This window comes from Homo sapiens, chromosome 5, assembly GCF_000001405.40.
Source record: "Homo sapiens chromosome 5, GRCh38.p14 Primary Assembly".
NCBI lineage: Eukaryota > Metazoa > Chordata > Mammalia > Primates > Hominidae > Homo > Homo sapiens.
In genome coordinates, this window is record NC_000005.10 from 89,274,554 (window position 1) to 89,291,745 (window position 17,192).

The 17,192-nt window shown below is 37.9% G+C and overlaps 1 long non-coding RNA gene across 6 annotated transcripts in view, besides 1 other annotated feature; it reads left to right on the top strand.

The window, feature by feature from the left end:
- MEF2C-AS1 (MEF2C antisense RNA 1) overlaps positions 1-17,192 on the top strand; it is a 584,252-nt gene that overhangs the window by 391,224 nt on the left and 175,836 nt on the right. The gene's annotated exons all lie outside the window — the stretch shown is intronic.
- Positions 5,814-5,983: an enhancer, noted in NCBI's record as "active region_22770". NCBI's record gives its function as "activates an Ori minimal core promoter by ATAC-STARR-seq in GM12878 lymphoblastoid cells {active_cell/tissue: GM12878}" and the evidence as "EXISTENCE:reporter gene assay evidence [ECO:0000049][PMID:35858748]".

The window sequence follows — 17,192 nt, forward strand, 5'->3', positions numbered from 1 at the left end:
ATTACTGATCTACTATAATTTTTCTGGTTGTATAATCCTGAAAAGCACCCATGACAATTGACTAGAACAAAAGGTAAATGCACCTTTAATTGATAAGACAGACAATTTTTGTAAAAGAATTGGAAAACCATCTGTACTGTAAACTTTTGTGTCTCTTTTTCATTCCTGTTTACTCTGCTATTCAATCCAAATAAAGATTGTTTTCACCTCAGCAACACAAAAATCACATAGACGATCCTTCAGGCTGTCAGTCAGAGGAAAGATATACATATGCCCAAAGTATACACTTGTGCTTGTTCACAGTGTTATTTGGGGAAAATATGTTGCATGTTCTCCTGGCTCTCCTAGTTTTACATTTTGAATTAATGCAATTTATTCTAATTTATGACAACTGTTTGAAAGGCTTGCTCTCCATTTTTCCGTTTATAAAGAGGTTGTTTACTTAGAGGGGAAAAAGCAGTAGGAAAAGTGGATTGCCTTGCACATTCAGGTGGAAAAAGCGAGTGGGCTTCCTGTCTTGGAGTCAGTGATGTGCACGAGAGTTGGGATTGTAAGGACATCTCTTGTAACAACTTTTTCTGTCTCTTTGGAAATAGGAATGAAATTATGGAGAACCTTTATTCTGCTTCTTAAAGAAAGTCTTATACAATTGAGTTAATTACCTCCCCCTTTTCTCTTGTTCTCTCTTCTTGTATTTATATAGCAGCCATCACCATAGTACCCTACACACGTTGATAAGAATGCTATTTTAGAAAAAAAAAAAAAGGAAGAAGAAAAAAAATAAGCACATGGTAGAAAAGAAAGGTTATTTCTTGTGATAGTACAAGATTCCTCTAGGGCTCAAAACCAGTAAAACAGGTTGGCCCTATTGTACCTAGAACAGTGTCTCAACCATAGTAGATAATTTAAGGAATATTTTTCAATTGGCATTACTAGAATCCATTTTTCTGTCCTTGTTTAAAAACAAAGTCTCATCCCAGTGTGCTCTATCCTGCCTTCATTCTTCTTAGAAGGGCTCTGTTGTGAAAGGACTGCTTGCTGGAGAAGAAGCTGAGCAGAAAGAGAACGACAGGGAGCACGTGTAGATTTCAGGGCCAGCCTAGGATCCAGATATCCCTTGGGGCTTTCATGAAATTCTGTTTCCTGTTGATATATGGTACTTATCTTGTTAACTGTGTACATGTGCATAGTGTTATGTGGATATGTATAACTATAGCCACTAATGTCCTCAAAAGGAATCACAAGTCATAGAGGTAAAAACATTATTATGTACCAGACACTTATAATCCCCTTATGTATATTAACTCAGTTAATTCTCATAAAATCTCTAGGAGGTATATCTATGGTTTTCAGCACCATTTTAAAAATTAAGAGGCTAGACGATGGAGAGGCTAAATAATTAGCCCAGAATCATGGTTAGTAATGATCAGAAAAAGGGGTTTGAACCAAAGTAGTTTCACTCCAGCTTCCATGTTCTTAACTACTATGCCATGCTGACTCTTTCTCAAACTACAAATCAGTTCCATACTGAGTCAGTAATCAGGGCTTGGAATAAACTTTTAGGGTAATATTATTTTAAGACCTAGATCTTACCAGTACAATAATGATCTGCTGAACCTCAAATCTAATCTAGCCTTGGAGTAGGCAACTACAAGACTTTAAGAAAAGACTGCTGTAACTTCTTCTTTGTTTACATGGGTTTACAATTTTTAATGCAATGCATACTTAACCTGCAAAACCCATGCCCTTTCACTAAGAGCATGCATCCATGCATTCATGTAAAGTTATTGATGATTCAATGAGAAATCATTTTGCTTTTGTATATATATTAGTCAATTGGGTGGGAGATAATTCAAACACATAAACAGTTAAAATATTGCTTCAGTATGACTGGTGACATTTACAAAATATTATGGCAGCAAGGAATAAGGGTTTTGGGGTTTAGATGTTGGGGTTAGTGCAGAGTGTGTATGGGGCTAAGGATATGTACATGGAGAACTAGGTTCTTGAATTAAAGTCTTGAAGGGTTGATGAAGAGTTATGCAGCCAGGGAGTCAGGTGAGGACAATCTAGGAAGAGGAAGCAGTTTGTTCCAAGATTTGAAGGTATGACAAAGCATGATGTCCATGAATATGATGTAACTGGAATGAGATGCCAAAGTGATGAGAGGTGGGGCTAGAAGAATGAGTAGGGATCAGACCATGAAGAACCACTGGGTCTCCTATTGTGTAGGTAAAGGCAAACCATGAGAGATGAGTAACAGTTATGGGCTCATCTGATTTTTGTTTTTAGAAATGCACTCAGAAGTCAATGGCCTGGGTGAGGGTAAAACCATGGGGAAAAGAAGCAGTGAAGGGATCTTAAGGCATAGTTATAGACAGTACACTATAATCTTAATACTCAGAACAATCCTATATACAAGACACTATTTCCATTAAGTAGATTAAACAAAACCAAACAAAATTGAGAATTGTTGAGTAACTTGCCCAAGATCTAAGGCAAGTAAATGACAGCTGTTTTACTTTCCCGTTAGTCAGACTCCAATCCTGCCCACTTCCTACTATATCATGCTGTCTCCTATTTCAGTCTCTTAAAAAGTCAACACTCCTAGTCTCCACTTAGAATTACTCAAAACTTCCCTGCACTGTCCAGATTCTCTCTCCAACCCTCTGACCATGCCTGTTCAGCCTCTTCTGTTGCATACCTTCTTCAGCCTTCCTCTCAACTGTTCCTGTTTCTCAAAGTTCTCTCCTCAGTCCTCTAACCTCTCCTCTTTCCTATCATTCCCATCTCTCCCCTGACAAGATCTCTCTTTCTGCAGTAATCCCATCCATTTTGTGCATCCCATGCAGGAACCCTGCCCCCTTAACTTCTTTAACTCTCAACACTGAAAGTGTCCCCATGTCCTGTTGTTGCCATGTTATAGTATAAACAAGTCTCTTTATTGCAAGTATGGTGAAATGATCATTGTGTTTTGCCTATACTATTGAAAGAGCAATTCGACTGGTTTTTACATCTGGCTATCGGATTGATGTTTCTGGGCAGAAGTCCGGCTATACTACTCCCTTGCTTAAAATTTCATTGGCTCCCTATTAAAAATAAAACAAAATGTAATTTTCCAAGATGGTCAATAAGTACCCCTAAATTGGGCCACCAGTTTTTACATCAAAGCTTATTTCCCATTGCTTGGCACATTGCTGGCTGCTAGTAAGTTCTCAACACATCTGTTGAGCAAATGAATGAGTGACTCCAGCTCACGTAAACTGATATATTTTTTAAAAATTAGAGGTATATATAGTCTAAAATAAGGAATTTATTTTTTATTTCAGTTAAGCTATCCCAAGGTAGCTGGTCATACTAAAAATATTTATAAACAGACAAAGCATTGGCACTGAACAGTCAGAATGGGCATGGGCTATGAGTCACTGTACATGTACACTGAAAGGCCTCTAAATTGAATGTGCTTTCATTCACACCAGACAGAACTGCTTCTGCATAGAATTCTCTGACTTTGGACGCCTTTCTTGTGACTTCTTCTGGTTCCTATAGGTTTCGTCTCTGAAGCAACTGAACGACTCAGAGAATGGAAGTAGGATTCACAGATGGGGTCCGGGGCTTTAAGAAGAGAACAGTCCTTGCACTCCTGGTGGGTGTGACTCAGAGAAGAGTACCACCCTCCACGTTTGCCCCTCTCTCCTCTCAAAAGCCCTATAGGAAGATATTTGAGAGTATGTGCATGCAGAATGCCCCTCCTTTTGAGCCATTAGCTTTCCAAGAATTTTTCAGTCCCATGACCACTTTCTACTTCTCTCACTCTTTCACCTTTTTCTGTTAGTTATGAGTGTTTTTACTCTCCCAATACGTTTTACTCTTCTTCCTCCCTCTTTCTTTTCTGCCATGAGCCACCTCCATTTTCTTAATTGAATAAAATTGGAACCTGTCATATATTTAGCATACTCATTAAATAAATGTTACTACCTAAGAATCAAATGAATATTGCTTTTATGATTATTTTTTCTTACAAAACAAAGTTAAGCCAATGCAAAAAATGTTGTTTCTTACTTGGATAAAACCTTGAATACATCTATTTTTTTTGTTGTTGTTGTTCTAATGGGGCAGTGATCTATTACAACTAAAAAAAAATGTACTCAGGTCTGAGTGCTTAAGTAAACAACAAAAGCAAATGAGAAACTGGTATTAATAAGAAGAAAGATGAGAAGAAGGGAAGAGAATGCAAAAGAGAAAGAGGAGAAGATTTCACAGACCAAAAGTTTAAAAGGAAGAAAAAAAATAACCTAGACAAGCAAATGAGAAGCCTGCGATGACTACACCCTTTTTCTGGTCCAGTCTTTCCCTTCTAGACATTGGTGAAATGCCTATCTAGCCAAAGGAAGACTAGCCAGAATAGGGGAAATCACATCTGGTTTTACTCATTAAACAACTGTTTGAGGATCCACTATGTACTAAATCTTGTTCTAGGCAGTTTAGAATCCTAGAAGAATAATGTTCATCGGTAATCATCTGTGTTTCTTTCTTTTTTTTTTTTTTTTTTTTTTTTGAGACAGAGTCTTGCTCTGTCACCCAGGCTGGAGTGTGGTGGCGTGATCTCGGCTCACTGCAACCTCCGCCCCTCCAGGTTTAAGCAATTATCTGCCTCAGCCTCTGGAGTAGCTGGGATTACAGGCACGTGCCACCATGCCCAGCTAATTTTTTGTATTTTTATTAGAGACGGGGTTTCACCATCTTGGCCAGGCTGGTCTTGAACTCCTGACCTCATGATCCACCTGCCTTGGCCTCCCAAAGTGCTGGGATTACAGGCGTGAGCCACCATGCCTGGCCGACCATCTGTGTTTCTTGTCAGGTTTAAAGCAGTTTCTTTGGAGGGAAATATGCTTTTACTTTGTCAGCCACCCTTGTAAGTTGCTTTGTGTGCCACCAAAACGGAAAGCAAAAGTAGGCAAAAGAGAAAATAACAAAATCATGTACATAAATCTCTTATAAAGATTTGTCTTGGATTTACTGTGGAGAGAAGTTTCAGCCCTCTTATTGTATGTGCATCTGTTTCCCTATCCCCAAAAGGCATTAGCGGAACAAACCCCTACTGTACCTGGTGGAAGTAATGCACAGCAGCAACTTCCCTTGTGCGGCTGGATATTAATGCTAATGTACAGGAGTTAAATATAGCACAAAGCTAGTGTGTTGGAAAGAAAAGACAAAGCAACTAACATCACACTGCAAGGGGTGGGGTGGGGGAGGTGAGGAGATGATTATATCCTTAAGCGCCAGGATAGACTGCAAAAGTGGTAAACTGATAAGAGGAGAATGCAACTAGTGAACAGAACTCAGTCATGCTAACCTAATATTCTCAGTGGCAAAGAAAACCCAAGAATGTTGCCTAGATGAGTGTGAATGAGAGAGTCTGGAAAAGACAGAAACCTTTGGTGATGTTTATTAATAAGTGGGTTCAATAAGAAAAATGGGAGTAAGTTTTCTAGTTTTCTCCCACTTCTAACAGGAGACTGTATTAGGTCATACACCACTAGAGTAAGTAGAAAAATGTCCAAGTCCCACATAGTTCCCATTGCCTAAATGTTAGAAACCACCTTGAAAAACTCTAGAAGAAATGCTTCATGGATAATGGCTTAAATGAAGGAGTTTTGTTCTGATAAAGTGATCCAAGGTCATGAGAATTTTTCCTATGGCCATGGAAAATTTTGGTTTCAACATGTGCTGTATCTTTCTCAAGGTGACAGTGTGATGTATTGGTGAAAGTACTGGGTGGGGATTTGGGGCAACTGTATTTAAGAAGTGAGTCTTTCACTACAAATCTATGTAATCTTGAAAAAGTTAAATTCTCAGCATGTTATGATTATTTTTATTTTTTCATTTCTAAACCGAGATGATTAAATCAGATGACCACAACTGTTCTATCTGGTTCTGACATGATAGATTCTCCATGGGCTGTGCCCAGCTGTGCTGTGAGGCCTGAGGTAGAGGAGCCTTACCTCCCTCAGGGCATTAGACACTTACTTTGGGGGAAGATTCTTCTTATACCAGAACAACTGACTCTATAACTGAGTGTTCTGAATGGCTCCTGTCTCTTTAATGGATATGTCTCCAGGGCTTAGGACAGCCATTGGCACTAGGTGCTTAGAAATCTTTGGTAAATGAGTGAAGTACTATCTCCAAGGAAACTGATACTTAAATGGGACTTAAGGAACACTCCTTTCAGGGCATACAATACTGATTGTAACTGGGGTTAAAGCAAGGACTCTGTTCAAATCTCCACTTTATCACTTACTTTTGGCTGACCACAGGAAAATTACTTAATCTCTCTAAGTTAATCCTCTTACAGTGAAAGCACGGTTAGAATTGTGTTTCCCTAATATGGATATTGTGAGATTTAAGCCAGTATTGCATTATTAGCACAGTGACTAGCAAGTAGTGAGTAGTCAATAAACATAACTATACTTAGGTCAGGTTTAAGTTTTGAGGCCACAAAACAAATGGTGGGGAGACTTCTTCCAAAATCATAGTGGATACAGGTGTGTTTTGTTAAGAGTTAGCTAACTAGTTATTGAACAAAAATGAAACAGAGATTTTAAAAACTAAGTTCTCTGTTAAGCTGGATTGTGTTGTGTGGTAAGGGGATCTAGGGAGGTGTATTTAAAAGGGCGATTTAGAGTAAAGAAGAAATAAGCTGGTTGCCAGGTACTATCTAGAGAAAAGTAAATTTGGCAGACAGAATACACAGGATCCAGATTAGATACTGTGATTTGACCTGGGCTTTGGCTGGACATATTAAAACAACATCATCTAAAGATAGTGGGGTGGTGAGCTTGAATCACAGTCTTATTCACTACGGCCAGGTTGCTCAAGTGTCTGGCTAAGGTGAAGGCAAAGTGCACAGAGGAAATTGTTTAAGCTCACATTGGATCCCAGCAAATGTGAGAGCCCGCAGCGATGGTGATGAAGTTCAGGAGTGTGCACGGAGTTTTCTAGAGCATTTTCTGGCACAGCTGCATTTGGATTTGAAGATACCTCCCCATGTAGGGCAGGATGAGAACAGATAATAACTAAGTGGTTGGAAGCAGGGCATTAGCAAAAGCTGGGCAGGACCATAAAAAAGTGTGGTTGGAATGCAAGCATGGACCCAAGCCCTAGAATAAAATTAGGTGCCTCAGAAAAGTCAGAAGGATACGCTCTGCTTCAAGGCAGATGCTGAGGCTTTCTGTTCGAGTTAAATAGCAGGAAAGGGAATGGAGAATTAGGGAGGGAGCTCTTTAGAGACTTCAGGGCCACCCAAGTTTTACTCTGCTCATGGGTTAAATATCTGGTAGGCATCAGAAATTAATTCCAAGTTGCACCATGTGAGATTGACAGTACCCATATGTATTCTGATTTGGTATCATTGGCTCAGAAAAGTTAAGCTGGCTATAGAGACAGATGATAAAGAAACTTGGCAGGGGCTGACACTAGTGCTGTAAGAGAAGAAATAAAAGCAAAGAGAGAAATAAGGAGAAGAAAATGACGCTAAACAACACTGACCACAAAAAAGAAAACTAAACTTTTTAAAAATGAGTAAAAGACTTATTTCTCAGATGCAAAGTTTATCTGAGGCAAAACTGGCTGACGCAGTGGCTGTAAAGAATTTCCATATTTTCAAAGAGCTGGGTCTGAGGCCTGCAAAGAAAAATAAATAAGCCACACTTCCTTTTCACATCTCCTTCTTTTGATGACCTCAAAGGTTAGAAAGAGTGCTCATATTAAAACAGGATGGAAAGGGGCTACTGTTATCTCAAGAATCCCTGGGTCAGTGCTCTAAGAGAGATCTGAAAAAGAAAAGTGCTATCAAGAATTACCTGAGGCAAACTGCTGGAGGCTAAAAAGCAATAGCAAGCATTAAGATAAGAGAAGATTGAGTTTATGTCTATGTAAATAGCCCATAGGCATATCACAACCTCCTACAAGCTAAAGGTCTGCAGAGCAATTGCCATAGGAGAGATTCTGAACATGAAGTAGTGGGGCAGTACAGTCTGGGTAGGTCCCCACCAAGAAATATAAAGAAGGCAAAGACCTTGTAGTCTGGGGTGTAAGCCTTGTGGTAGGAGCCTCTCAAAATGTCATGGGAAGGTAAACAGGCTGTGAAAATCCAGATAGGGTATTCCCTAGGGTTGCTCTGTTTCACACAAAGTTTAGCCATTTCACTAAGTGTTAATTCTTTAATCTGATCTTTACTCTTCCCCATTTTGGAACTTTACAGACATTGAGATTGTCAGTTAGAATTTGATATAGGCCCATGTATTCTTCACTTCTTATGTTTATTGCCTTTCCACATGACCTCAGGTACTCTTAGATGCCTACAACTGGTATGATTCATGAGGTATCAGTGACACATAAATCACTCTATGTTTCTATTACAGTTCAACTATTTTCCTCATGGTGTGACTCACTGGGAATTATCCCTCATGAACAGAGTTTTGCCAACATTTTGCATGATAGGCTTTGGGGGCTGAGACCCAGAAACAGAGGAGTCATAAAGCCTGCATTTGAGTGATTGGTGGAAAAAGCTTAAAAATTATCTAGTTAGTGATAATGTTGGCGCACCATTATTAATTAAAACAGAAGGTTAAATATCATAAGATAAACACTTACATAACCATCCTCAAATTTATTAAATCTGACTCCAATAAAGTAGAAACCAGCAGTAGTTTTAGTACTTACCTGCTCATCACGTCTGAGGAAATTCCCAACCACACCCTACGTTCCTTTCAAGTTGGTCCCTTTTCTCTTACATGAGTTACAGTGGTGAATTAGACATTCTTTGACTAAATATTGGACACAGCTTAGTGCAGGTAAATTGTCTTCAAGATATAGAGCAATCTAAAAACTGATTAAGACCTGGAAACCATTTTTGTTTTCAATTATTCTCCTTTATTTTGTACAGATTTACAAACTTTTATTTATTTACTCACTAATCAATTCAAACAGTTTTATAGGAATAACATAGTTAAAATAAATTTGAAAATTGAATCACTTAAAGCATACTAAGTACATTGTTTAATTACTGTCTATTATAATAGCCTTTTCTAAGCACCATGGGAAATTTTCAGAGTGCAGTCAGGGGATATGACTTGACCATGCAAAGGATTGATGTGATTTGAATAAAGAATAGAGAATAAAACATTTGTTTGGCTTAAATTGGGCAACTTGATTTAAGAAGCACCAGAACAATACACAAAACTACATATGCCATCCAACCCTGTCAAGAAATACCATTCCAATGCTGTAGGGCTGTGCCAATTCATTCAGAATGCCATCTTAAGCCTGCCTCATATGGCAAGTCAGTAAAGAGTCACAACCATTTCCAGTTTCCTTTAATCCCTGGGAGATGGATTCAAGAGGCCAGTCTGCCTTTTTCACATTGCTGGGGAAATAAAGCAGAAACCACAAGTTTCCCTGATTGCTTCTAACTTTATAGTGCTCAGCAGTCATACAGAGCAAGTAATCCTCCAATATATGCTGATTTTTATTGAGGACTGCAAATATTCAGACTCCAATTCTTTTTGAAATAAAGTAAGACAGTGAGTAATAAATAGAAACTTCAGAACAGGCAAAACTAATTCTATTTTGAGGCTCCAGTAGGTTTTTTTTTTTTTTTTTTTTTTTTTTCTATTGTTTAGGTCAGGCAACCATCATTGAATGGTTATAGTTGGTTCTTGCCAGCTATTTGCCTACTTCGCCACTAGGGATCCCGGAAACTATTTTGACAATATGATGGAGTCTTATATTCCACCTTGAAGGGTCTTATCCACATGACCTTTGGGAGATTAGTAGTAGGAAGTGTACTTATTTTCTCTCAATTTGTTCACTAGTGACCGGAATAAACAATCTTATTAGGTAGCACAACTAAATTCAGTGGCAAAGTAGAAATGAATAAACTTTGATTTTTACTGGCACTGACACAGTTCAGCCAGAAAGCTGGGGCACGCTAAATTTCTTCTTTCTAATCTCCTGAATGTAGTTAATCACCAACCCTCCTCTACTTTGCTTTCTAAGTTGTTCTTTATCCTCTTCCCTCCTCTCTGTCATCACCACCATTGCCTTATCATCTTTTCTGGAATGCCATTTTTGCCTTTTAGTTGGTGATCCTGCTTCTCTGTTCACAGCAATCCAAATCAGTTTACACATTATTGATACTACTGTTTTTCTAACATTCTTATCAGATAGCATGAATCACCTTGATTAAAAACAAACAATAATGACAACAACAACAAATCCAGGACCAAACTCCAGTGGCTTTCTATCGCTTGAATGTCAAAGTCCAGTTTTGAACAGGATTTTCAGTACATTTACATTTTGGGCCCTACCTATCTTGCTGGCTTCATCTTCTGCCATACTTCTCCATGCTTCTAGTACACTAGCCAGACTGAACTATTTGCAGTTCTCTACGCCTGCTATGGGTGCTATATGCTTTGTCCACCTTCTCCCTCATCCATTTTCTCCCTTATCCATGTTGCAAACTCATCCTTCAATTTTTTGCTCAAAAGTTACATTTTCATAAAACTTTTCTAGAAAGCTCTTACCTCCTAGATGAGCTTAAATGGTCCCTTGCTCTATGTGTTCTGAGCACATTGCACATTTCTCTGTAATATCATTTTCTCTCATTGCATTGCATGCATACCTATACTCCCTTCTACATCATAATGGGTTGAAAGATCATAGTCCCTGCTTTTTTCCTATTTGTGTCATTAGCAGCTGACATAGTGCCTGGTATTACTGTCAACAAGTACTTGCAGAATTGATTAATACATAGACCTACTGGTTTGTTTTCCAGTTATAACTGGTAAATGGGCATTTTTCTAATATAGTCGTTTTCAGATGAGTTCTTAAAGGACCTGTGAAAGTTGTTTGGGGTCTTCTTGGTTGCAGGAAATGAGATAGGGAAGCTCAAAAAGAGAGGTTCTGGGTTTCCAACCCTGCGTTGGTTAGAGTGGTTCTTCTGTTATTTGTCTCCTATCTTAGGGGTTAACATAAGACTTTATGTCAAGAAGTTTCTACTTCCCAAAGAAGTTTGAAAACCACTGTAAATGATGTGGCCCTTGTCAGCTCTGAGATCGTCTCTCTCCTCACTGCAAAACAAGAAAAATAGCCATTTCTAGCCAAATATTAAGATGCTATTTAGTTGTCAGAAATTTGGTACTGGGAGGATTTATGTAGCTTTCAAGTCAAATCATTAAAAAGGACTTTGAGAGTTCTCCATTAAATTATCTTCTTTTTGAGATGCTTCAGTGAGAACAGTTAAAAGTTGAAAGTTGAAGTTAGAAGCTTTGGACTTGTGACTCTTCTCCTTCACCACCTAGCTCTGCTATTTTCAGTGTACCATTTACAATCTCTGAATCTCTGCTTCACCATCTGTTAAAAATTGAAAAGGAGGAATATTTCTGTTTACCTAGTAGAGATAACATCTATAAAGATAGCTTCTAAACTATATGGCACTATGATCATACATGTTCACAAAAATCCGTACTGTTTCTTCTTCATGTAGCTGGACTACATTTCTTGCCTCTGTTTCTATGATGTAGAACCATCTGAAAAATATTCACTAGTAAATTAGGAGTAGAACTGCTGTGTGTTATTTCTGAGCCAAGGATTTTAGAAAAGAAATATGCTCCTTCCATTCTTTTCCCCTAATTTTTGCATCTAGATGTAGGTAATTATCAGATGTCAATGAGTGGTGAAGCAATAAGATTAAAGAATGCTAGGCGCTTGAATTACTGTGTGGAGGAGAGCTGCCTGTCACCAAGAGTATTCTCTTTGAAATATTATGTAAGCGAAAGATAAACTTCATTTATGTTTGAGCAGTTATATAGTCTTGAATCTATTTGCTACTGTAGCCTGTCCTGTCCAAATGAATTTGGGTGCTTTACAACCATAAGATGCTGTTGTTTGTATGATCATGTCACATTATCGTCAATCATCACTACCCCATGTGATGTACTTGGTGAAGGAGGCTGTCAATAGAAGAGGAGCCAGGTTTGAGTTCTCTACTACAGACTCATTAACATGTTTCTGTCACAAGTCTGTGACAATGTTGATTTATTTAATTAAATTTAAAAACCTATTGTGAGTGTCCAGGGTCACTGCTAACTGAAACTTCATTTTTTGTAAGAGTTAGAAAAAGGTGCTTCTCCTAGAGGAGGCAGGGCTTTCCTGTTGAAGGGAGTGAAAGAATGAGGCAATCCTCCTTGGCAGATTCAGGGTAGATTGATTAGAAAAAATCTTCCCCTGTGTGGTGATACAACCAACCTTACATGGCTTGACAGACAGAGGATGGGCTATGAATGCTTTCATATTCAGAAAAGAAGGAGCATAGGAACACATATTCAGAAAAAAAAGAGCATAAGAACATTCCATTTAGATGGCAGAATGTGGGCCAAAAAAATATTAAGGTGCCAAAATGCACAGCTAATTATCTGGTTGACCTAGGGCATGAGGATGGAGAGAGATGAGAAAAAAAGATAGATTGAAACCTTATCATGAAATTATTGAATGTCATCATGAGTAGTTTAGATATTATTTTGGGCAAGGAGTATCCATGGTAGGATTCTAACAGGGATGTTCTATAAACTGTATGAAAGGGGTTTTGATGGGAGTAGCCTGGACACACAAAGGGTTATTGGAATTATTTGGGCAAGGACTAAAGAGAATCTAAGTTAAGACAATTACAGTATGAAGAGAGAGAAGATGGATTTTGGAACAAGACTTGAATACTTTCAGATGTGAGAGAGAAGAGAATGTGGAAATAAAAATTAAGACTAAGATGTAGGGTCTGGGTACATAAAAGAAAGTGATATTCTCAATAAAGATTGGGATGCCATGAAAAGGCACACATTTTTATAGAAGATGAGTTCAGTTTTTAACTACTTGAGTTTGATTGGACCTGTATAGACACAAGTTATACATCCTGTGTCCACTTTTAGGTTGTAAATTTCAAACACTTAAAAGGTTCTAATAATTAAATATATTAGCCTAATAAATATTCAAGCAACCATAAGATAGTAAGATTATCCTCATTTACAGGTAGTTGACATGTTTGAAGTTACACAGTTAGAAAGTGGCAGAATGAAGATTTTAACTCAGGAATTAGACTCAAAAATTCACGTTTTGAACTTGCATGGTATGAGGCTTCTTGTAAACTCACTTAGGGAAAGAAAACTTCAACAACCAACAAAGAAAGTAGAGTGTAGATTGTGGACATTTAGGATATTTTAAGTAATTTTTACAAATCCAAATTCTTCTAGTGATTTTTTTTCTCCTTAGTTGAGCATTCTGCATCTTTGGAAGCTTCTATATCAATAGGTACTATCTAATAGTAATGCTTTTTCAGACAGAAATATGTTTCAGGAAAAATTACACAAAATTATATGGGAATGAGAAAAAAAGTGGGATCTGTTATTAGGTTCTGTCATAGACAGAGGAGATTCTCAATCATAATCATATGTTAGTGCCCTGTGAAGAAAGCTAAAATAGTTTGTCAGCCTGGGCCCTCACACCCAGCCTTGTTCTGTATGGTTGGTCTTTAGCCAGAGCAAATCCTCCCAAATGACAGCTGTCAACTGTCACAGGTTACAGATTAAAGTGATAAACTACTCAGAATAGTGGATACAAATACTACAAACTCAGAGACACTAAGCAGAACCCTTTATAACTAGATTCTGAGCACTAAGAGTAGATTTCCACTATTCATACCCATTTCTTGGGACAATTTTGACTTCACAGTAGCATGAACAACTGGAAATAGTTTCTTTTATATATATATATTTTTTATTATACTTTAAGTTCTAGGGTACATATGCACAACATGCAGGTTTGTTACATATGTATACATGTGCCATGTAGGTGTGCTGCACCCATTAACTCATCATTTGCATTAGGTATATCTCCTAATGCTATCCCTCCCCCTTCCCCCAACCCCACAACAGGCCCCGGTGTGTGATGTTCCCCTTCCTATGTCCAAGTGTTCTCCTTGTTCAATTCCCACCTATGAGTGAGAACATACATGGAAATAGTTTCTTAATGCTACTTTTCAGTTCATCTGGTCCTTTTAATTGAAGTCTCTGCCCTTCTATACCAAATTCAGAGATAAGATGTTGCTATGGTCTGAATGTCTGTGTTCTTCTAAGATTCATTTGTTGAAATCTAACCCTGAATGTGTTGGTATTAAGAGGTGGGGCCTTTGGGAGGTGATTAGGTCATGAAGGCAGAGAACCCTTGTGAATGGGACTAGTGCCCTTATAAAACAGGCCTGAGAAAGTTTGTTTGCCCCTTTGCTCTTTTGCCATATAAATATGCATAGAAGGTGCCATATATGAGAAATAGGCACTCACCAGACACTGAATCTGACTATGATTTGATCTTGGACATTCCAGCCTCCAGAACTGTAAGCAATAAACTTTTGTTTATAAATTACTCATGTGAAGGTATTTTGTTATAACAGCCTAAATAGACTTAGAGAGTTGTGTATGATAATAATCCAATTCTGTTATGTTTTCTTCATATCGTAAAACATTTTCAATGAGAAGTGATTGGTAAATTAACAAAAGTAAACTGATGTCTCTATAAGGTTTGGTATGTGACAGGATTCAGTATGCAGGATGAGTTGGGTGGTCACATGCCCCAATTTTCCCTGGACAATCCTGATTTACCTCTGATATTCCAGTGTTATTATCAATAAGTTCTCCTTTCACACTCTCAAAAGTGTGAGAGATCACTACTGAGGAAAGCATCAAGAATCTTGGGCTATAGATCTAGAGCCTTGATTTTATATTTGTTTAGGTAGATAAGTGTGGCTGGTTATTTGAAGGCAGTCTCACAGCTTCCTGTATACATAAACAGAGTGTAACAGGAGCTAAGGTACTAATTACAATACTCTACAGAACTCTTCTCTACCCATTTTAATCATCACTTTATCTATAATTTGATTATTGAATGATGAATACCTGGATTATTTACCTAAAACAAGTAGAAATATAAACCTGAACAAATGTCATGTAACAATAAGCTATGATATGACCTAGTGAAATGAAACAGAAGCTGGAAATTATCTATCCCAACATCTAATCTCCTCTTTCTTCTTCGTATAAGAACTCTGAATTTATTTTGGGGTGGCAATGAGTCAAGCTAACGACTACATTTCCCAGAGTAGCAAGATTTGCAGCAAGACGTGCAATGTGACTAAGTTCTGGTCAAAGTAATGTATTCAGGAATGTGTGTTACTTGCTGGAAGTCTTTTTAAGAAAGGAGGGAGCAGAACTTTCTTCTTCTTGCTATTTGGAATGCAGTGGAATGCCTAGAACTGAAGAAGCCATCTTCAACCATAAGTCAACACACCAAGTCAACATGTGTGTTGCAAGAAAAAAAGTATGCTGGTTTTCTAATGATCCTGGAGCCATGAAATTAGTTCTAGACTGCCTACTTCTGGATATCTTCCCTGTGAGAGGAAATAAAACTCTTTTCTTGTTTATAACACTGCTACTCTGCTGTTTGGTCACTTGCAAACAAACAATTCTAATTGACTCAGGAAGAAAACATGAAATTTCATATATAAACTTCAGAGTGGTTAGCAGGGAGCATTGAGGAAAGTGGGAATGTGCTGGAAAGGAAGGGAAGGGTACAGAAAGGGGAGAACTTCTTTAAAGTGTTCATTGAACTTTTAAAAAGGCAACTTGCCATTTAGTAGAAATTTAACTACTGAGAAAATCAGATGTATCTTATTAGCGTTGGTGTGTTGCAGTTGTGATACTGCAAGTGTGAGCAGTAAAATGCACTGAGTATGTCAGAAGTAGCCTTAGCTTTCCTAGCTGGATTAAAACAATAAAGTATCCAAATGCCTGTACTTCAGCTTGGAGTCTTGGAATGTCTGGACAACTTTCTTTAAAGGAAGGCTTATTATAAAGTAGTGTAGTATCAATTGACTACAAAACGCTTTCACAACTTCCCAGAAGAGCTTCAGCTCAATTCAGCACAATATGACTGGGTATGACTACCCATTACAATATGCTAGCACGTGAATTCATTATGTGCAATATCTAAGCCCATCAATGTTGATCTAAGCATTTTGATAGCCAGAGCTGATAGATCCATCTTAATACAAACTCTAAAGTTTGCGCTTTCAGGAATACATCATGAACACGTTGCTTTACCTCTCTGTGGAATCAGAGGGCTTACACTTGGGTATCTAAGGGCTTGCTAGGAGTGGGAGCAGATGGTAGTTTTTATATGTTCTTTTTATAAATTCATTTTGAGCAGGTTTTTTTTTTTTTGCATGAATATTTCATTTATGACAGGGTGCTGCTTAGTTATATAAAAAGTAAATACATAACGAGCGAGGTGTAAGTATAGCAGCAATGTAGTGTTGAGGCTAATGGGTGGAGAGGGTTTTAAAAATACAAAGAATTCTCATTTTCAAAAAGTACTCTGCAAACTTTAAGAGATAAGTACGTGATTCTTTCCTGTTTCTTTATCCCCATCCCCCACCCCCCTCCTCCCGCACATTCTGTTGTGTGCTTGCCCAGGAAAAGAGGAAGGTTTTTTTCAAGAAGTCAAGCATTGGATTTTTGATCTTTATTAGGAACAATATTTCAATGAGTTTGAGAAAGGACAGAGCAGCTCACTTAAAGTGAAAATAGCAAGGGCAAGCACCACAAACAGAAGCAGCGTAAGGTTAGGAGACCCAGGGCGGCTGTATATACAATCATCAGCAGGAGGAAGGGAGGATGGCAAATAACAGCTGCCATAAGCAGAAATGATGGGCCTTGATCTTCACATGGGACAGGTGGCCAAGATATGCCATATACTTCCCATTGTGCAACATCATGTATATTGTCACAATGTTCTGGGATTCGAAAACTGTTTCCAAGCTTATTCTGCCTAGAAAAAGTATTTAAGCCAACTTGAGAATATATCAAATCCCACTTCCCTATGAAGTTGTTTTAACCTAGGTGTGTATTATATATTGACGCAATTAATTGGAAGGTTTTTTTTCTTATTCATAGCTTCATTTTAACCTAAGTTGTATTAGTTGTGACCTAAAACTAAAAAGAAATAACTAAGTTATTAAAACTTCCGTATTTTGTCATTATTTCAAATCTTGTATTGTGAAAGAGGAGATACTGTGGTGATTTTATGCA